Source organism: Homo sapiens, chromosome 18 (assembly GCF_000001405.40).
Source record: "Homo sapiens chromosome 18, GRCh38.p14 Primary Assembly".
In the NCBI taxonomy this organism is placed as follows: Eukaryota; Metazoa; Chordata; class Mammalia; order Primates; family Hominidae; genus Homo; species Homo sapiens.
In genome coordinates, this window is record NC_000018.10 from 34,924,781 (window position 1) to 34,946,894 (window position 22,114).

The 22,114-nt window shown below is 36.2% G+C and overlaps 1 long non-coding RNA gene across 1 annotated transcript in view, besides 2 other annotated features; it reads right to left on the reverse strand.

Moving 5' to 3' along the window:
• The window catches only part of LOC105372061 (uncharacterized), a 51,352-nt gene extending 32,765 nt beyond the window's left edge, over positions 1-18,587 (reverse strand). Inside the window, exons 1-2 of the long non-coding RNA XR_007066333.1 lie at positions 18,444-18,587; positions 8,751-8,863 (exon numbers count right to left, since the gene is read on the reverse strand). This is a non-coding gene — a long non-coding RNA (uncharacterized LOC105372061). The remainder of the gene's footprint in view (positions 1-8,750; positions 8,864-18,443) is intronic.
• Positions 4,485-4,779: an enhancer, noted in NCBI's record as "tiled region #7107; HepG2 Activating DNase unmatched - State 1:Tss". NCBI's record gives its function as "activates a minimal TATA promoter and a strong SV40 promoter by Sharpr-MPRA in HepG2 cells {active_cell/tissue: HepG2}" and the evidence as "EXISTENCE:reporter gene assay evidence [ECO:0000049][PMID:27701403]".
• Positions 18,225-18,519: a silencer, noted in NCBI's record as "tiled region #2105; HepG2 Repressive DNase matched - State 3:PromF". NCBI's record gives its function as "represses a minimal TATA promoter and a strong SV40 promoter by Sharpr-MPRA in HepG2 cells {active_cell/tissue: HepG2}" and the evidence as "EXISTENCE:reporter gene assay evidence [ECO:0000049][PMID:27701403]".

Consider the following 22,114-nt stretch of genomic DNA (forward strand, 5'->3'; position numbering starts at 1 on the left):
TGTTCTTCAACAATCAATGCTGTAAATAGATGTCTTTGAGCATGCAAGAACTCAAGAAATTATTTCCTAATGTACTCATGTGCCCTTCTCAAAAAATCTCCTGAAAAATGAACTTGATCCAAATAAGAAATAATGGCAGATAGTTTGGCAAAGAGCAATACATTGTCTTGTAAGGTAGTAGAGATTTCATTCCCTCAAATGGATTGCAGGAGGGACACAAGAAATAATACAGTCTCTATGGAGGGGAGTTTTTCAATATCTAATAAAAGTACATATGCATTTAGCTATTTATCCAGCAACTCCACATCTAGAAATTTACTGTGAAGATAGCTCTCCAACATATGGAAATACATGTGTGGAAGAGGCTATTTATTGCAGCATTATCTATCATGGCAAAATATTGGAAGCTATCCAAATGTTGGGCATAAGAGATTGAAAAAAACTATGATACATACACATATGGAGTATTGCACAGCTATGAAAAAGAAAAAGAACAATATGAACTTATATGGAGAATTTTCAGGAGATATTGTTAACTGAAAAAAGCACAGTACAAAACAATACACAGAGTATGTGCCTTTTCTGTAAGAAAGAAAGAGGAAAACAAGAAAGCATGAATTTACCTGCTTATCCTTACAAAAGGAGTTCAAGAAAGATTAATTAGAAAGCAATGAAGTTGGTTACCTCCAAGGGGTTGGGAGCAGAGTGAACAGGGTGGAAGGGATGTGAGAGGGAGTAACGCTTCTCTGAGGATAACTTCCCATTTAATTTTTCTTTCAGAAGGTTGTTAATGTCCTGACAAGATTAAATCAACAAGGTTAGGAAAGAGGAAAACTGAAGCTGAAATCAAACTAAAACAAGTGAACCCAATTGTAATTCAAATAAATAATCACACAGAAGGAGAAAAAGAGAGAGAGATTGAATCTAAGTCATGTGTGAACACAATATTTTATTATCTACCCTCAGGTTTGGGGAGACAAGGGGAGAAGGAGAAAAACAAACAAACCCTGAACTTTTTTTTTTTTTTTTTTTGGAGACAGAGTCTTGCTCTGTTGCCCAGGCTGGAGTGCAGTGGCACGATGTCGGCTCACTGCAGCCTCTGTCTCCCAGGTTCAAGCAATTCTCCTGCTTCAGCCTCCCAAGTAGCTGGGACTACAGGTGCATGCTGCCACGCCCGGCTAATTTTTTTTTTTTTTGTATTTTAGTAAAGACGGGGTTTCACCGTGTTGCCCAGGCTGGTCTCGAACTCCTGAGTTCAGGCAATCCGCCCGCCTCGGCCTCCCAAAGTGCTAGGATTACAGGCATGAGTCACTGCACCTGGCCCAAACCCTGAACTTTTAAAATGCGTTTGGGCCAGGCACGGTGGTTCACGCCTGTAATCCCAGCACTTTGGGAGGCCAAGGCGGGTGGATCATGAGGTGAAGAGATCAAGACTATCCTGGCCAATGTGGTGAAATCCCATCTCTACTAAAAATACAAAAATTAGCTGGGCGTGGTGGCACGCACTTGTAATACCCCTACTCAGGAGGCTGAGGCAGGAAAATCGCTTGATTCCAGGAGGCGGAGGTCGCAGTGAGCCGAGATTGCACCACTGCATGCCAGCCTGGTGACAGAGTGAGACTCTGTCTCAAAAAAAAAAAAAATACAATTGGATGTGTTTAGTGACAAAGAGAAGCAATTGTGAAACTATTTCAGATGCATTACAGGATTGAGCAAATGAATAAGTATGTTGATGTTGCTGAGAGTCAAATTCTAACTATAAAAGCAATGAGGATGAACAACCCTGTGCAGTGGATTACAATTGGAGGTATAAATGTCAACACATGCTTTCTAAACTAGAAATGGAATACGTAGGTGTTTGCATGTATGCATGTATATGTGTAGATTGATGTATATATGTGTGTGTACATGTACATGTATGTATCCATATTTACATGGGTGTAAGATATGCATATATTTTCTACCTCTGCCTCTGGAGCCATGCCAATAGCAATTTTTATGCCTAGCACCCAGATATTGGTCTCTATGCCCATTCCTCACTAACAAATACCAAGGATTCTCAGAAAAACAGCTGATTCTGAGGCTGGGTCAAGGAAAGTACAGGTAAGCATGGAACACCTTGTTTTTCCAGATAGTAAAAATGTACTTAAAAAAATTTCATGGGAGCATGTCACAAGATTCAGGTTTCAGTTGGAAAAGTCTATCACTGGCCAAATCTGAGACAATTTGATGACTAAAACAATTAGGAATAGTAAAAAAGTACAGACTATTAGAAAAACTATGTCCATGAGTCCATACCAGTAACAAATAAAGAAATAGGAGAGAGGAGTATTCTTGCTTATGGAACTGACCGATAAAATGTGGAAGGAGTGCAGTTTTGGAAAAATCACATTTTGTTATCATCATAGCAAAGACTGATTCAAGTAAATTATCAGTGGATGCTAAATCCTGGGGAAATTTTTCATGAGAAACAGGATATTTGCATGGTCTTAGGTAACTCCTCACAGATTGTTTATGTGCTTCAAAATAATATAATAATGGGGAGGAGAAATTGGACAAAACCTACACCAGGGGAGCAAAATCGGTGTTGCCAATGATGGGCAGATGGACATGATGTGTCTCTAGATGTGAAACCGTGAGAAAGACTCAACATCGCTTATGTAGTATTTCAGTCTGGCACATATATCTCCATCTGACCACGTGGAATCATCAGAGGAACCCCAAATGGGGAACATTCTGTATTCTTCAAAGAAGTCAATGCTATAAAAGACAAAGAGAGGCTGCAGAAATGTTCCAGATTAAAAGAGACTAAAGAGACATGAAAACCAAATGCAGTATGTGATCTTATACTATATCCTGTACAGGAGAGGGGAAGAATCTATAAAAGACATTATTGGGTCAACTGACAACACTGGAATGCAGATGTTAGATTTCATTAACATATTGTATTACAATTAAAGGTACTGAAGTGGCTAACTGTACTGAGGTTTTGTCATAGAATATTCTTAGTAATAAAAACATGCTGAAGGTTTTAGGGGTAGAGCGCTATGATAATATAATGCAACTTACTCGAAAATGGCTCAAAAATATTATATGTGTATGTTTTATGTGTGTGATTATTCTTGTGTGTAGGGAGAGATAGAGACAGAGGGAGAGGGAAACAGAAGAGAGATAGAGACAGAGGGAGAGAGAAACAGATAGAGGAGGCAAATAATAAAACTGATGAGACTAAACGTTAACATTAGGTGAATCTGAACAAAGGGTACATGAGTATCCCACATAGTATTCTTATTATTGCAACTTGTCCATAAATTTGAAATTATTTTCAAATAGAGGATAATTTTAAATGTTTGAAAAAATCTTAGAAATTAGATGAATCAAATTATATCACTCCCATTTAAAACCCTTTAACAGCTTTCCAGTGCTCTTAGGATCCAATCCAAGCTGCTCTTCCTAACACCTAGAGGATGCATCCCTCGCTACCAGCCCCACCCAATCTTGGCGGATCTCCTCCCACAACCTGCCACACTCATCCTCCATCTGTTTGGAACTCTTTCAGGCTTCAAGGGTTTTCAAATCAGGCTTCAAGGATGGGGGAGGGGGAGGTTGTTTTTACCTACCCAGAATCCATTTTCCCTCTGGTAAAATCCTCCCACCGTGGGTTTCTGCACCCTCAGTGCCAAGCAGGACATGGGGCCTTGGCCATGAGCATGGTGAGGGCATAGCTTAGAATGAAACTACTACACAGGGAAGCAGAGCTGCGAGGTGAAGAGCAGGACCAAATCCTGACCACGTCATTTGAATCTTTGACTCTAGCCCTGGTGGGAATGAAATCTGACCTTTGACTTTTTGCTGCCGTTCCCTCTGCCTGGAAGGCCTTTGCCCTCTCTCTTCATATGACTAACTCTTTTCATCCCTAGGTCCCAGCTTAAATGAAGCCCTCCAAATGCTTTCATGAGCGTCCTACCTAAAGGAGGTCCCCTCTCCAAATGTGTTTTTCTTAGCCCCTTGATTTTTTTATTTTTTTTATTTTTTGGCCTCTTCACACATAACACAATTTGGACCATTTCATTTAGTTTTTATGTTTATTTCTTTTTAAATTGTTCCCCCTATTTGAGTTAAGGCAGGGGTTTATAAGGTGGTTTCAGGCTGCTTTTGTTCCCCAGGGCCTGGGATGTTACCTGATCACATAGCAGACACTCACTATGAATTAAATAAATGAGTACATCTTTTTTCCTCATTACACTAGGTCTTTTAATACTGAAGAATCTACATTGTCCAAGAGAGGAAAAAATATGAATTGGCACATAATATTTAGGCCTAGAAACTATTTTGCTAAATTATAAGATCACTAAGGAATATGTTTTATTGCATTTTGTTTTCTGCTCATCCCAAATATCTTGCATTGTGTCTTATACATAGCATGTGTACAGTAATGGGAATTTTTGCCCCCAGTTATTATGCCATTTAAGCCCCTAAGGAGCCAGGCAATACTGAACCAATAACAGTATGAAAAGCTTAGATCTTCTTTTCAGAACTTACTGTTCGAATCCAGTGGGGCCAGGTTGACTTTCAGAGAAGGGCATTTTCCAGGCAAGTGGATTAGGGCTTTGTAAATATTTGTTGAATGAATCATAAGTCACTTTAGCTAAACAAATTCTGGAAAGAGAGGAAGGGAGGGAGGGAAGGAGAGAATCTAAAAGCCTTAGTCATTGAGCCCAGATAAGTCGAACTCATCTGCAACCCCATAATTAGCTGTGATGATAGCCGTGCTTTCAACATTTCAATTTCCAGGTCTTATGAATCAATTTTCAATAATCTATGAAAAAATTACTTAGGCCTCTTCTTCCCATTTTCCTTAATCCCCTCATGAGGCTGGCCACAGAGCTGAGTCATGGGTTGGGTAGAAAGGTCAGGTGTTGCAAAGCTGAAACTATGAGATTTAAGGCAGAGCATATGATGTGAGTCCCCATTGGTTGTGGTCAAGTCATGTAACCTAACAAGCATCTGTTTCCTCATCTATAAAGTAAGAATTCATAAGAACACCCAAGCTATGTACCTCAAAAACTGTTTCTATAAATCTAATCATATAATACACTAGTAAAAGTATTTTATGAGTTGTACAAATATCAAAATTCAGTTATGAAACAATCTGTTATTTTTATTATTACTGATACAAAACCATGCTCAGATAGTTTTAGGATTCCCTAGTTATTTCCATTTACCACAAAGATGAAATCTTTCTAATTGTATAATTTGTATAGGCACCTATGAGCTGTTTAAAAAATAAATGTTGTCCAACCACCTGTGATAAAAATGTCTGCGGAAAAGACTTCCAGATATTCATTAGCCCTAAATTGAACTTCAGTTTGTTTGGCTTTCTTTTTTATAATATTTTCTTAAAACATGTGGTCTCTTAAAATTTTTATCATGCAGAGAATCATGAAAAAATGATATATGAGGTATCTAGACAACACAGCATAGATTGTCCCTTTGAATGGCAGAGAGAGTCGGCAGTTTCTTTTAAGTCCCCATTGTCTAATCTTAGGCACAACCCAAATTAGAGTTGTGGGTTGCAAAGGATTCTCAGAAAAGGGTGTGTTCCCCAGCCTCCTAACCAACCATAGTAGATCCAAGAGGAAAGTACTTTTTGGTGGGAAGGTACTAAAAGGAATGAGCCTCGTACTAGTCCAGCTTGTTTCCCAACCTCAGCAACATGGAAAAGAGCCACGGGAGTGATACACAATAAACACATACACTCACACAAATATTATTTAGCCTTGAAAAAGAAGGAAATCCTACCATTTACAACAATATGGATGAACTTGGAGGATAATATGCTAAGTGAAATAAGACAGACACAGAGAGACAAATGTTGCATGATCTCACCTATATGAGGAATCTAAAATAGTTAAACTCATAGAAGCACAGAGTAGAACAGCAGTTGCCAGGAGTTGGGGGCTGGGGGAAATGGGGAGTTGTGGTCAAAGGATACAAAGTTTCAGTTATGCAAGATGAATAAGCGCTGGAGATCTACTATACAGTATAGAGACTATGGTAAATAATCCTGTATTCTATATTTGAAATCTGCTAAGAGGGTAGATCTTAAGTATTCTGACCATATCAAAAGAAAAGTAGCTTTAGGAGATGATGGATATGTTAACTAGCTTGATTGTGGTTTGGTGATCACTTCACAATGTATGGGTATATCAAAACATCAAATTGTATACCTTAAATATAGATGAATTTATTTGTCAATTATACCCCAATTAAGATGGGGAAAAGAAGAAAAAGAACTCCATTCCCATCCATAGGGAGCATGTGCAGTGTGTAGATTAAGAATTGGGCTTTAGGATTGCTTATTAACTATGTGAGATTGTGACAAGGACAATTTACTTAACCTCTCTGTGCCTTAGTTTCCTTATCTGTAAAATGGAAATAATAACACAACTCTCAAAAAGATGCTTGGAAGATTTAATAAGGTAAAATGCATACAGAATTAGCAGCATGCCTGAAACATGGTAAGAGTTCAATAAATGTCTGTTACTACTAATGTTACTAATCATAGCAATAAATTTTTTTTATTTTATTCCCTTTCAGATTTGAAGATTACAGAGCCTTAATATTTCCCAAGTTGACAATACAGTAAGGAATGTTCAAGAGTTCTTTCTGAGACATCCTTTTTTGCCTGGAAGTCCACATACCCATCAATGACCTTGATTTTAACATATTGGAATAAAAATTATGTCAAAGTTCCAATAGAATCATTTATCAGAATGCTTTAATTCTGAAAGAAAACCTTCAGTTGCATTATTTCTCTTTTATTAAATAGCAAATAATAACAATTTAAGCCATTAATCCTAGTGAAGGCCAATGAACACTGTTGTTTTGCTACCAGATTTTAAGCTTTTGCAGTTTTGCCTTTAAGTTACTTAAAAGGTCTCATATCTGATTATAGAGAACCACTCCATTAAGTCCTAGACACTAGCTAAGAGCACTAGGCCATTTTCTACCCATGTCCCGAAGGGTATAAAATACCACTTTCTAGGCACGAAAGAGACTCCTTACAAATCAATCTTTCTAATGCTCTTGTGTCATTTTCCCCCATGGGGTCACATCTGATTATCCAGGCCAAAGAATATACCTGATTAAAAGCTGCTTTGAAGGTGAAGCCTAAAATTATTGTTATAAATTTTCAGGGTTACTATAAAGCTGTAAAAACCTTTTGTTTTCACTGTAAAAAGACCATTTTCCCAGTTTTTTATTTGTCGGTACTCTCTTGGCCATAACAAATGGAAAAATTCATGTAATTTCAATTATTTATTCACTCATTTATTAAATTTATTTTTTCAATCATTCATCTTATGTTGATTGGTGTTCTAGACAATGTGTAAGTTTGGGGAATATAAAATTGAACAAGAAGCAGCCCTTATGGATTATATGATGTTCGAGACACATCAACAAATAATTGCAATATAATCTTATACATGCTTAACAAAAATATGTACCAAGTTGTAAGGAAGCTCAGAAGAAGTGATCATTGTTCCTGGAGGAGTTGGAAGAAATTTCACTGAGCAGTGAAATGAAGTTAGTACTCATGACGAGTAGAAGTAGAATTGGGGAACACCATTAATTACAAATTAAATGAGTTAATATATAGAAAAGAATTTAAACTCATGATTGGTACATATTAAAGTGCCATAGAAGTGTTAGCTGACATTAGCATTACCATCACCACCATCATTATGCAGACAATAGGAGTCATTAGAGTGCTTATCAGTACCAATCTCTCTTAAGTGGTGACTGTCTGTGCTGACTTATTATTGTTACCTTCAACAGGTTCAAGTTCCAAAGATTCTGTTTAACAAAAATCCAGCAACATCAAGGTTAGGCATGAATAATAATCACCTAGCCTACTTGAGTGTAGCACATTTTCTTTGTCCAACTAAAATACTGGGCCAAAAGTGAAAAGTTTGTAGTAAGGGAAAAAGGTAGGTGAGATTAAGGCTAAGCTATCCTATGTTTAAATTATAAGTTAAAGAATTAAAGAATGAGTCCCCTAAATTTTCCTAGAACACTGTTAATGTGCTTGGAAGTTTCATCTCTGGATTACTGATGGCGGCAGCAGGGGAATATCAGTTACTGGCAATCCATTAGTCAGCATAAGATAGGTTATGCTGCAAGATCAACAACCATGATCTATCAATGGATTAACACACAGCAAGTCTACCATGAGTCTAGAGGCTCTTCAGCATAGCTCCCTTCAAAACGATGACTCAAGGACCCAGTCTAATTCCTTGTTATAGCTACACCATCTAGAACACATGGATTCCGGGTCACCACAGTGAAGAAGAGAGAACTGGAGTATCACATACCTGTTAATAATGCTTTCTCCTAGAAGTGAACTATATCAATTCTATTTCTACGTCCAACTCACTGACCATAGCTAGTCACATGATCCCATTTCATTATATGGGTATTAGGAAATGTGTATGGGTATTTTGTGAGTAGTGTTTCTGCACAATCAGTCACAATGACTAAGCTAGGTCTTACATGTACAGGCAGAAGGGGAAATTGGGGAGAATGCAGCTGCTGTTTTTTCCCTTGTGAATGCCTTATATTTGTTACCTTCACTCTTCTCAGTAAACTGAAAAATCATTGATTTTTTTTTTTTAAATTGTACTCCCACCACTTAGACCACTGCTGACATAAATAGGTGTTGAATAAATAAGAGAGCCAGTACAGCTTACCCACATTGCTGCAAGATGACTGAGAAGTCTGCTACCAGGATCCCATTCCAGTGATGAAGCTGATTTCATTATTAGAAATGTAGATAAATTCATTTTGTCATTTGAGGAATTACCTGAGGGAACAGCAATCAAAATGACACAATCCTTTCATTGTTTACAGAAATGAGCCAATATTACTTGTCTCTACACTGTACATTAAACTACCTAACACTTCACTTAGCATTTCATCCGCACAAGGGTTCCTTGTCTTTTTCAGTGTCCTGCTAGAAAGTCTCCTTTTTGCCCTATAAATAATTTATAAGGAAAAAAAGAAACAGTTCTTATGTTATTTCCTTCAAAAAATTTTAATTGATATTAAAGAAAAATATTTAATTCAGTTATTCTTATGAAAAAATTATATTCTTTCACCTTAAATATTTCCTGTGTCATGTTCTTTTTGTTGTTTAATTTCTTATCTCTCCACTGAAAAAAAACTTGAGAGCCACTGTTCTCCATATCTTAACCTTTTCCATTTTCCAGGCCTTAGAATGATGTCATTGTGGGTAACTACATCTTTACAGCTTTTAAACAGCACCTTAATTGCCAAAGGAAAACAATCCTTTTATTTTTAACAAAGACATACATCATTCCCAAGCACAATGCCTGGAATATAATATTTATTCAAATGTGTCCAAGTCCTAATTCTCAAAACTCTCTAGAAATGGCACCCAACTGGAGATCCAAAAAAAACCCAGTTGATATAAATAAAGTCCAATCATTATTTTTATCTATAATTCATCAAATTATATTCCCAGATGGCTCACCATCACATCCATTTAAAATAACAAATGATTTAAAGTCATAATGCAAATAGATTTATTGATTTCAAGATTTCATCAAAGCATTTATCTTAGAATTTAATCAATAGTGCTACTTGGTGAACAGCTCAATCCAATAAAATCTGTATGTTGCAATTAATTCAGGTCTTGTAATGCCACTTTCCACTGATAATAAAGAAATCTTGATGACTCATAATGCATGGGTGTTCTCCATAGCCAGAGTCCTCTAGGCCAGCAGTTTTTCAATATGCTATTGGAACAGACTAGTGTACAATAATCAAATGCACGGCTTGCCTTAGTGAAGTATCAACATTTAAAAATGATTTGCTTCTTTTCAGATATATATATAGAATGACTTCCTGCATGTCCTTGTATCTTTCTTTTTTTCTTTTGAGGCAGAGTCTCGCTCCGTCACCCAGGCTGGAGTGCAGTAGTGGCGCCGTCTGGGCTCACTGCAAGCTGCGCCTCCCAGGTCCACACCATTCTCCTGCCTCAGCCTCCCGAGTAGCTGGGACTACAGGTGCCCTCCACCACGCCTGGCTAATTGTTTTTTTGTATTTTTAGTAGAGACGGGGTTTCAACGTGTTAGCCAGGATGGTCTCGATCTCCTGACCTCGTGATCTGCCCGCCTTGGCCTCTCAAAGTGCTGGGATTACAGGCGTGAGCCACCGCACCCAGCATGTCCTTGTATCTTTTGCACTCACTTGCTTTAGCTATGTGAGAACTGTGTATAAGCACAGCTTATCCTGAATAGCAGTCCACAATTTGCTGATACAGTATAATGTTAATAGTTGTAACAACTGTCCACTATGATGTATGAAAAACTACTGAGAATTTCTTCAACATCTGGGTATTCACATGGAAATCTATCATATGTGTATATCATAGATATGGCGAGAGGGAATATTCCCGGTTCTCATTTTCTGCTACATTTAGTCTAAAGCAAATGTGATTTTTCCCTTGGCTATACCTCTGTGATATAACGTTTTCATATTCAGTAACTTAATAATTCATATCTAAAATGTCAAGTTAATAACTTAGTCTCTCTCCTCTACTGAAACTATTTTTAAAATAATTTAATTTCTGTCATTAATTGTACATCCCATTCACTTGCATGAAACTACTAACCCAAAGCCCTCTATTAATAATGCAAACATTCTGCATCTATTTCCAACAGCAAACAGAAAAATAGACAGCATTTCAGTTCAAATATATCAATTCAATGATTTTTTAAAAATCCCAAATGCCCATTCATGACTCTATGTTATGTCAATATAAAATTGAAACCACAGCAGCATCATGGAAATATACTGACATAAATAACACATTTCTTATGAAGTACAACACTCACTCTTATGCAAAAAAAGTTATAGGAATTCAAATGACTTATTTAGGGAAGAAAAAAAAAGCCCACAGTGGTATTCCTTAAACCAATAATACACTTTCAAATACATCTAATAGTATGCAAGATCCCTTAGCCAGCTCTGATAAGTGCCAAATGCAGTTTGACCATTTATTTAAAATACTGTTCTCCATATTTTTATAGCAACATTCTTCCAATTGACAGGTCAGAGAAAATGGCTAATATGCAATATATGACCACATAACTTACATGAATTTCTCTAATTAGTGCCAAACTGTTTTCAATGAGTCTGTGTGTGAAAAAAAGAAATATTTATGTAATTTTAAATTGTCCTAAAGCAAAAAAGACTCTAGTTGCAAGGAAGTATTATATGATAGTGTTTTAATAAAAGCCAATTGAATAATAAAAAGAACTCCCAACACATCTGAAATCACTTATATCTCCTATTCCATATACAAAAGACAGATAAATCAATGTAAAGTTTATTTTATTTGAAATACAAACCACTTCCAAGCAGAGTATTCATCCAGAATGAATATTTATAAAAATTCTCTATTCTTCAAAAAATATATGTGTTTATAATGTCAAACTTTGCCAGAATCCTTAACTTTAAGGCTTATTAGTTGAACATTTTCTCACAACTTTGCTTGGGAGAAAAAGATTGGCTTATAAAAAATGCTTGAGGGTTATTTATAACTATTTTAGAAAAGCTAGTTAATAAAGATATTAAGTAAAAAATTCACCTAAAATCCTTTCCATGTTACAAAACGTGTTCTTAAATCATCTTTGTGGAGTTTCTAAAATAGTTTGATAGATAGACAAATGTCTATTTTTATTTCTGCTTAGCGTGTTTATAAATTGATAACAATTTATTTTATTTTATGGCCATTCAAATTTTAAATATATTCTGATTATAATCAAAGTGGCAGAACATGTAATAGTTTAAAAGAATAAATAATAAATGCAATTTATAGAAATATTGACATTAAAATTTTGATGATGATTATGATAATTGTCACATAAAACTTTACACAGAAAAATTATAAGAGCACTCAGGCCAGCCACTGGTTTTGACAATGTAATACAAAAATAGAATAGAATAGATACTTTGATATTAATTCTGGTATGCAATTTTATGTGGTTTGTATCTCTGGGACTTTGTACCACCTAGAATCCCTCCCAGCCAGCTGTTTGTAGCCCAATTATCTCAGTCCGGTTATCTCGTTCATGAAACCTCCAGGACTGGGTCTGAGGCTTCCCAGCTGTTCCCACGTATCCCATGTCTATCCCACTGCAGCACTCACCACACTGAATCATAATTGTCTCTTCATTTGGGAGTATATACCCTTAGCTAAGATTCTTGATGGCTGAGGCTAGGTTTAATTTCTTATGTATTTCTGGCTTCTGTAATCTAGTAGATGTTCAATAAATAATTGCCAATTACTACTAAATGGATGTCTACAAATATACAACATAAGGACTAGCACTTGAAAAACACGTAAACAATTTATTTTAGTATCAAGAACATATACGTTTTGCCTGGAAATGATAGTTCTGCCACCACACATCCAATTTAGAAGCCTGGCCAAGGGCTTAGGGAAAACAATATTATTTTGTTAGTATTCTGCCTGTTTAAACAATCTATACAATAGATTCCATACAATCTGCTTATAAACCTCATTTTTCTATGTATCTTAACAAAAAAAAAGTCATAAATTATAATTGTGTTGCTTGTTCTTTCATTTTAAGTACCATTTCATTTCTTAGCCTTAGTACCTCTCAGTGACTATTCCAAAATGCTGACATCCTTTTTGGGTCCCTAATTAACCCCCCACATCATCTTTAGTAGATGCCCTTAACTCCTTAAATTTGGTCTTCAACTCTGCCATTCCCTTCCATCCCCTCAAATTTTCTTCTTCTGATTATTCCCTTATCTCTTTCCCTCAAGCCTAAAATGGAAAGGTACCTGCTTCTGGATCTTGGACCCCACATCCTTTTACAATTTCTGGTCTTCCTCCATCAGTTAGAATTATTAATGTTAATCTTACTGGTTCATATGCATTCTAGTCTGTATTTTTTGTTAGGTCTTTATTTTCCCTCTTAAAATATAGTCAATTCTCATTATTCATGAGAGTTGTGTTCTATAAAGCCACCATGAACACTGAATTAGTAAATCCTGAACCATTGTTCCTAGGGGAAATACAGAGTTAGGTCCCAGCAAGCTTCTAACCACAACATTTTCATCAACGGATCAATACATAACCTTGTTTTTCTGTTTCTGTTTAAAAACACCTTATTTAATATATATTGCTGATTCATGAGCATTGAGCTCACAGCCAGTAGTTCTGTAACTAATGCCTGAAGCAAAACTGACACATATATTTTCTCTGTAAAGCATATTAAAGCTTTCTTGCACTTAAGAACACCAAACAGCACTTTAGCACTATGCTTGGAGGCCACTTCACACAGCAAAATTATTAACAAAAAGCACAAAAGTGTAAAAAACATGACACTAAATAGACCACTAGAAGGACACTTGTTTACAGCATAAGAGCTGAAGCAAGAAGGCAGACATCACATTGCTCACTCAGCTGGGAACATGTGCATGTGATGGCTCCATTTTTTTTCCCACTCTGCACATGTCCATGAGTGACCAGAAAACACTGCAAGTATTAATCTGGGGTTATAAATAAATGTGAAAATATAGAATCTGAGAATAATGAAGATATTGTAATACATGCTTATGATAAAAAATATATATCGCTAAGGTTCCTACTTGAGTCTAGGATACTCCTAGTTTCTACCTCAGATCAATAATGTTTGGGAATTCCTTATGTTGGAAAAGGAAGTGGGTTTACAAGGAGCCAAGTTCTGTGTAAGCACACAGGGAATTATGCCAGAGATATTTGGGTTTCTACTCTTAATGTAACTGTATCTTTATACACAGGCAAGTGAGGTCTAAAGAAATCTGGTTTCAGCAAGAAAAATACAAACAAGGAAATGAACATTATCTATAATCCCATATACTTCTTTTCAATCATTTTCTACATGTTTTTGCCATGGAATCACACAATGCACACATAAAATTGAGTCTTGTGTTTTTGCTTTATCACTAAAATTTTTCCCATTTGGTTCTCAGGAGTAGTTGATCAGAGACTTGCTTTGTAACATCAAGTATGGAGAAGAGTGAATGGTAAAGTTACTCATGCAAAGAAAAGGCAAACTCAGTAACATGTCCAGGCCCTGTCGAAACACAAGATCAGCCATACAACCAGGCTCTATCAAGATTAGAACATAATTACAAACTACAATGTCTTCCAGCATTCAAGGCAGCACTAACAACTACTTTGCTGTCCCTTCAGTGGCAGAAATGCATTATCTCAATTAGTGGGCACCATTATTTGACTCAACTACTCACTATCTGAGAATATTCTACTCTCACAACTAAACTTTCACTCTGTTGTTTGCTCTCAACCTCTTGAGAGAAATAATACAATTATCTATTAATCACTTCAATGATTTTGAACAGAATTTTTACTCCATAGCATCTTACGGGCCACTGGCAAATCGATACACGGCATCAGCTGCTCACTGAGGCCCATCATCTCTCAGTGTGCTGGAGCCACATGGTACTGGTCTGGTGACCCAGGCACAGTATGCAGAAGCCACACTGTAAAAAAAGTTATGGACCCTAAGAAGCTAAAGAAAAAGTCAAATTAAACCAAAGTAAGTAGGAGAAATAAAATAATAAAGACAAAAGCAAAAATCAGTAAAGTAAAAAAGAGACAGTAGAGTAAAATAATTAAACCAAAACCTAGCCTTTGAAAAAATAAATCATGTTGATAAACTTCCACCTTGAATGATCAAAAAAATTAAAGACAGAAGATACAGATTACCAATATCTGAAATAACAAATGGATATCAGTACATATCCTACAGACACTGAAAAGATAGGGGAATATTATGAACAACTTTATACCAATAAATGTGATAAAGAAATAGACAAAATTCTTAAAAGATGAAAATTAACAAAAGGGAGTTCAAAGAAATACATCTTAATAGCCCTATATTCTGTTAAATGAATTACGTTAATTTGTAATAAAAGTCTTACAAACATATTAATAGGCTCAGATGGCTTCATTGTTGAATTCTACAAAATACTTAAGCAAAAAATAATACCAATTCTGCAGAAACTATTTCAGAATTTCTCCAAATCAAAGAGGGCAATTTTTATCCAAATTGATCTATAGAGTCAACACAACCCCAATCAAAATTTCAGTAAGCTTTTAAAAATTAAATTCACATGGTGATTTTAAATCTTATATGAAAATTCAAAGGATATAGAATAGCCAAAACAATTTTGAAGAAGAACATAGTTGGAGCACTTACCCTACCTAATGTCAAGACTTATTATAAAGTTAGTTATTAGGACAGCAACGTAGTAGTGAAGGATAAATTGAACAAAGCAGAAAACCCAGAAATAGACCTGTAGGTATGTGATCAATTGACTTTCAACAAAGGTGCCAACATAATCCAATGGGAAAAATGCTAATCTTTTTGATAAATGGTGCTGAAATAATTAGCTATCCTATGTTAAAAAAAAAACAACCAACATCTTTATATCCTACATAAAAATTACTTCAAAATGGATCATTGTTCTAAATGTAAAGCTAAACCTATATAGCTTCTTTTTTCTTTCTTTTTCTGTTTTTTTTTTTTTTTTTAGACAGTCTCACTCTTGTTGCCCAGTCTGGAGTGCAGTGGTGCACTCTTAGCTCACCGCAACCTCTGCCTCCCGGGTTCAAGTGATTCTCCTGCCTCAGCCTCCCGAGTAGCTGGGACTACAGGTGTGTGCCACCACAGCTGGCTAATTTTGTATTTTTAGTAGAGACGGGGTTTCTCCATGTTGGTTGGGCTGGTCTCGAACTCCTGACCTCTGGTGATCTGCCCATCTCGACCTCCCAACTATATAACTTCTAGAAGAAAAATTGAGAGTTTTTTTCACAACTTTGGAATAGAAAAAGATTCCTAAGGTATAAAAAAAAATGTATTTTTTTTTTGAAAAGTAGTCAGACTTTAAATTTAAAATGTCTGCTCTTGGAAAGATATCACTAATAATATCATTTAAAAAGCCAAGGACTGGAAGAAAATGTGCATAATACTTATATGTGACAAAGAGCTTGAATCTGGAATATGTGAAGACTTGCAACTCAGGAAGATGAAGACAATTTAATCTTAAAATAAGCAAAAGATTTAAATTCACAATACATAAAAGTAGATACACAAATTCCCAAAAGCATATGAGAAATGCTCAATATCACAAGTCATCACTGACACACAAATTAAAACCCCAGTGAGATACCACTGCATACCCATTAGAATGGCTAAAATGTAAAGAAGGCTGATTTATCAAGGGTTGGGAAGAGTATGCAACTGGAACTCTCATACATTGTTGATGGGAATGTAAAAAGTGTAGAGCCATTTTGGAAAACAGTTTGGCAATTTCTCATAAAACTGAATACCACTTACCATTTGACCCTAGGATATAGCAATTCCATTCCTAGGTATTTGCCCAAGCAAAACGAAAACATACATTCACACAAAGGCTTGTAAATGAATATTCATAGCAGCTTATTCTTAACAGCTGAAAACTGAAAACAACCTAAATGTCCATCAACTGGTGAATAAATGTGCAAATTTGGTGTATTCATGACATCACTACTCAATGATAACAAGGCATAACTACCAATATTTGCTTGTAACAACATAGAAGAATCTTGGAAACATAATACTGAGCTAAAAATGGCAGACAAAAAGAGTGCATACTATGCTATTTAAAACTAGAAAAAACAAACCTATGGTGACAGAAAGCAGGTCAGGGATTTCCTATGGCCAGTGGCAGGGTGAGGATGAACTAGAAAGGGGGAGAGGGAACTCTTTGAGGTAGTATAAGTGTTTTTTATCTTGAGCATGGTGATGGTTACACTGGTGTGAAACTTGTCAGAACTTTTTGAAATGGACACTTAAAATGGGTGCATTTTATTACATGTAAATTATGCCTGAATAAATACGATTTAAGAAAAAAAGTGGGGAGGAACATCTTGAAAGGGCTCCTGGGTATGACAAATATTTTGAGCTTGTCTAACCTATCCAACATAAAAATACATGTACCCTAGAACTTAAAGTATAATAAAAAAACATATATTTTAAAAACTCAATAATTTTCACCTGAATATTCTTACAGCAGCCAATGGAAATTTTCTCAATGTTGAGTATGTAAGTAGTTACCAATTTTTTGATGCTAAAATTGTACAAATCTCTGTTCATTTTATTTTTAATTAAATATTTAAGATACAATTCTAATTGTGGAGTTTAAGTTATGGAAAAGTGCTCAAAGCATTTAAAACTAGGATAACATTCTAGAAATGAAAGTTAAAGGATGTAGTATATATATTTTAAAACCTTTAAAACTTCCCATTTACCTTCTAGAATTTGAGAGGTTGAGATTAATTCTCCGTAGTTTCTATCTTTCCATATCTACTGGGTCCTTCCTCCCAATCTATAAAAATATTCATCTTTCTGACACTTGAAAGAAAAAAAACGCTATGCTTCCCACTGAATAAATTGCCCTCTTAGTGCTCTTTCTTTTCACAGTCAAGATTCCTGAAGAGGGTAGCTCATGCTCGTTGCCCTACTTTTCTACTCTTCATTTACTTCTCAACTCATGACAATCTACTGTCTGTCACCAGAATGTGCCTTCACTAAAATCAACAAGACTTTGTTAATTTCTGAACTCAAAGTTAATATTTCCATTAACTTCCTTGACTTCTCTGCAGCATGTGACCCTATTAGTCATTCGCCCCCGTAACTGTCTCCTCTTTTCACTTCCATGGTAACATTTTCTCAGCTTCACCCCCAGCTTCTCTGACCATTCCTCCTTAATCTCCTTGCCAGCTCCTCTACCTCTACCTACCCCTTAAATGTTAGTTTTCCTTAGGGTTCTAACCATTGCCTCTTTTTCTTCTCTTTCTATATCTGTACTTCTCAAACTGAATACACAGAATAAACATAGATAATTTTATCTGAAATTTTTAATTATAATCAGTAGTAATCAAAACATTACTTTTAGATTAGAATAAATAAGGATGTAGCATAGGAAAGAATGCAAAATTTGCATGGAGAAACAGGGAAGACACCCTAAGTGCTCGCTGTCACTCATTACATCCTATCACCCAAGAAGCTGTGACAAAGTCAGCTCCTTAAAATTTCTCAAATGTTTCTTTTCTTCTCCGCTTGCTTTAGTCTATGTCTTTGTCATTTTTTACCTAAACTACTGCAGTAACCTCCTACCTTGTGCCTCATTTGCCAGTTTAGCCCTCCCATCATCTTTCACACTTTAGCCAGAGGTTCTTTTATTGAAACATATAACTGTGCTGCCTGAAAACCTCAGGTGGCGCCCTAGCTCTTAGAGACTGAAGTCCAAACTCCTAAAGGTGTGATCTGGTCACTCACCATTCCACCTTCTTTCCTTCATTCATTTGGCAGCATATTTCCTCCAAGTAGCCACACAGTGGGAGAGCTGTGAAGATACATTGTCTTCTCTGCCTGCGTGGAGAACGTGTGGATCAGGGTGGCTCACGTCCTCCTCCCTCTCCCGGCGCCCATTTCTGCAGGAGAATGGTTACCTAACATCATATCCCAGTTGAAAAACTGAAGTCCAACAGAAAAGGGGACTCACAAAGATTTTTACCTAAAAGCATGAAGATGAAAGGGAGCTTAAAGTCCATCAAGTCCGAACTCTACATTCTATAGCCAAGGAACAAGAGACCCAGTAGAGGCAAGAGGCTTGTCCAAAGTGAGACAAGATTCCAAGAATAGGAAAATTTCCCAAGCAAAATTATTGCTCTCATTTTTCCAAAGGGGGAAGAAAAGCATTTGTATAAAAGTGTGTGTTAAAGTTCCTTCAAAAAGGCAAACAAGTCAAGTTTGACATAATTTATATCTGTCTACGCAAAATGAAGTAGCTGTCTGAATACTTTGTGCCAAAAATAGATTTGGCCTAAGTGTCCAGGTAATTAGAGCTTGGTAAAATGTTTTTGCTTGAATCATCTAAATCATTGCCCTAGTTCTTTGCTTTACTTTAGAACGTGGACACCATTGCAAGGTGCAAACTTAAAATGCTGTACCTTTTAGACAGATACCTCAATCTTTAGAGCTTATTAACATTTATATTTCAATATTAAGTCTCCAGAGCCTAATCTGGTAGCAGATGGAGGCCAAGATGTCTAAGAAAGGGAACATATTAAAAAGTTACAGACCCATCAGCAAACTAAACCTAGAAAAACTTCTATAAAATCTATGACTTGACTATGAACAGCAATTCTAACTTGCTGAACTAATAGCTCCCAGTCAGCTAACTTGCCTGCTCTTATTATCTTAACACATCAGGAAAGTTTCCAAAATTGCCATGCAGGTCATCTATTCATTCTGTCATACATAGCAAAGAACAGTATGCCTATACAGAAAATACCTCATTCATCTTCCATCTGTCCCCTACCCAAACATCCAGGACAGATTATATTCTCTTTTATTTTTCATATCATTTAAGAAAAGGTCTAGTGCATTTTAAATAGTCAAGAGCAGCATTCCTTCATCTCTGGGATGGTGGGGATGCTCTGCTTCTAACCTTTTAGTTCAGTGCTGCATAATATAATAATAAAGATCATAAATGTTTAGTGTCTCTTCATCTGAAAGTAAATGCCTTGAGGGCTTTTATTCATTTTTATTTTATTTCTGAAACATTTCAAGCTTACATACCAGAATAGAAGAAATAAAAATAGACTTCCATGTCCCTACTACCAAGATTGAACATGTTATTTCTGTGATATTTGCTTTAACCTCCATCCTCCATCCATCTAAGCCTTTCTCTCTCACTTTTTTCCTTCTTCCACAGAAGTAGACTGCCATTATGTTTATGAGTCCTATGAACAAGGAGAAGGGGCAAGATGGGCAGCAGCAGAAGGAGGAGGAGAATGAAAAGGAAGAGAAGGAGCAAAAGAAGGAAGAAGGGAGGAGAGAGAAGAGCAAGAGGAGGTGTTAAGTATTTTCCAGATTTTTTACAATGAGCATATACTATATTACTCTTATAATAAGAAAAAAATATTTAAAATAAAAATTAAAACTACAATATTATCTTCTTATTTCAAGGAGTGCAGATAGAAAATATTCCTGAAAGATCATTGTCTATCGCAATTTAGGAAAATATGGGTAGACAGACCTGGTTCATGCTACATGAGCAGGCAGTGTAGAGTCAGGGCTGCTCCCACCACTATGAATGTGTTCCACCCCTCCAGTGGGTGATGGATGAGGCCAGCACTCTCCCTCCATTCACTCAACGTCCAGGTGAAGGAACTCCTGATGTCACTGTTGTTACAAAGCACACAGTCTACACCAACATTACATTGCTAAAATGTGTTACAGGCCATCGTTCCTTTAGATCAGGAAAGTAGGAGGCCATTAGCAACCTTGGTGAAAGTAGTTTCAAAAATTAGTTGAGAGGAAAGATAGTCTGTTCAACAAATGGTGTCAGAACATTGGACAATCATAGGAAAAAACCTTGACCTAAACTTCATGTAGGAAAAAAAAAACCTCATGACTTGGAGTTAGGCAAAGAGTTATTAGACATGACATGGAAGACATGATCCCTAAGAGAAAAAAATCAATGAATTGAACTTTAACAAAATTAAAAACTGTAACTCTGAGAGCAATCCTGTTAAGAGGATAAAAAGACAAGCCACGAAAGGGAGAAAATATTTGCAAATCATATAACTTATATGGAACTTTATCCAAAACATGTCAAGAATTCTAAACTCAGAATTAAAAAAAAAACCACAGCAATCCAATTTGAAAGTGGACAAAAGATTTGAACAGTATATGAATGGCAAATGAGCATCCTCAGTATCTTTAGCCATCAGGGAAATGTAAAGTAAAGCTACAAGGAGATACCAGTGCATACCTGTGAGAATGGTTAATAAAAAAATGCTGATAATACCAAGTTTGGGGAGGATACAGAGCAAATCTGTACTATTTTTACTGCTTTTTATATGAGGCTTAAATGATTTCAAAATATAGCTGGGCTTGGTGGCTCATGCTTGTACCCAGCACTTTGGGAGGCCGAGGCAGGTGGATCATTTGAGTTCAAGACCAGTCTGGCCAACATGGTGAAACCCGGTCTCTACTAAAAATACAAAAATACGAAAATACAAAAAAAAAAAAAAAAAAAGCCAGACGTGGTGGCACATGCCTGTAATCCCATCTACTGATGGAGGCTGAGGCAGGAGAATCACTTGAATCCAGGAGACGGAAGTTGCAGTGAGCTGAAATCACGTCACTGCACTCCAGGTTCCATCTCAAAAAAAAAAAATTGATTTAAAAATAAAACATTATTTTATAAAATGTGGTGAGAATGGGAGCCTGATTGCAGAACTGATCAGGGAAAGGGAGATGAGGAAGCTGAGTCAATGAGTGAAGATCATACTGGAAAATTATCTGATCACTAACCTTATAGCACAGGGCCCTGAGCTGTGGACTCTCTTAGCAGGCAAACCCTGAGGCGGGGCACAGTAGTCAGGCTCAGCATAGCACAGGGTTAAACAGCATGAGCTGCTGGGCTAACTTCTTAGGTTTGATGCTACTTAAAGTTGTACAACCTTAAGACATAACTTTGTGCCTCAGTTTCCTCATTTGAAAACAGGCAAAACAATAGCGTCAAATCTTAAAGGGTCATTTTGAGGATTAAATGGAAAAAATTACATATATAACATTATAAATACTCAATACATTTTAACTTTATTATTATGATGATTCATCTAGATTTTACCTAGAATTAGCAGTTCTCAAAGTATCTCAATTCATTTATTTTATATTCTCTTACTCCCCACTTTCAAAAACTCTTTCTCATTACACCTCAGTTCCTGTTCCTGTCTGTGTCTTCTCTATGTAGAATATTATTCCATGTAATTTATACTTTTTAGTGATTTTTAGTTTTATTCTAAATGTAGATTTTTTCGTTTTTAAATGAAATGATCTAAAACAGATCTTATAAAAATAAATGCAAGCCAGGTGCAGTGGCTTATGCCTGTAATACCAGCACTTTGGGAGGCTGAGGCAGGAGGATCGCTTGA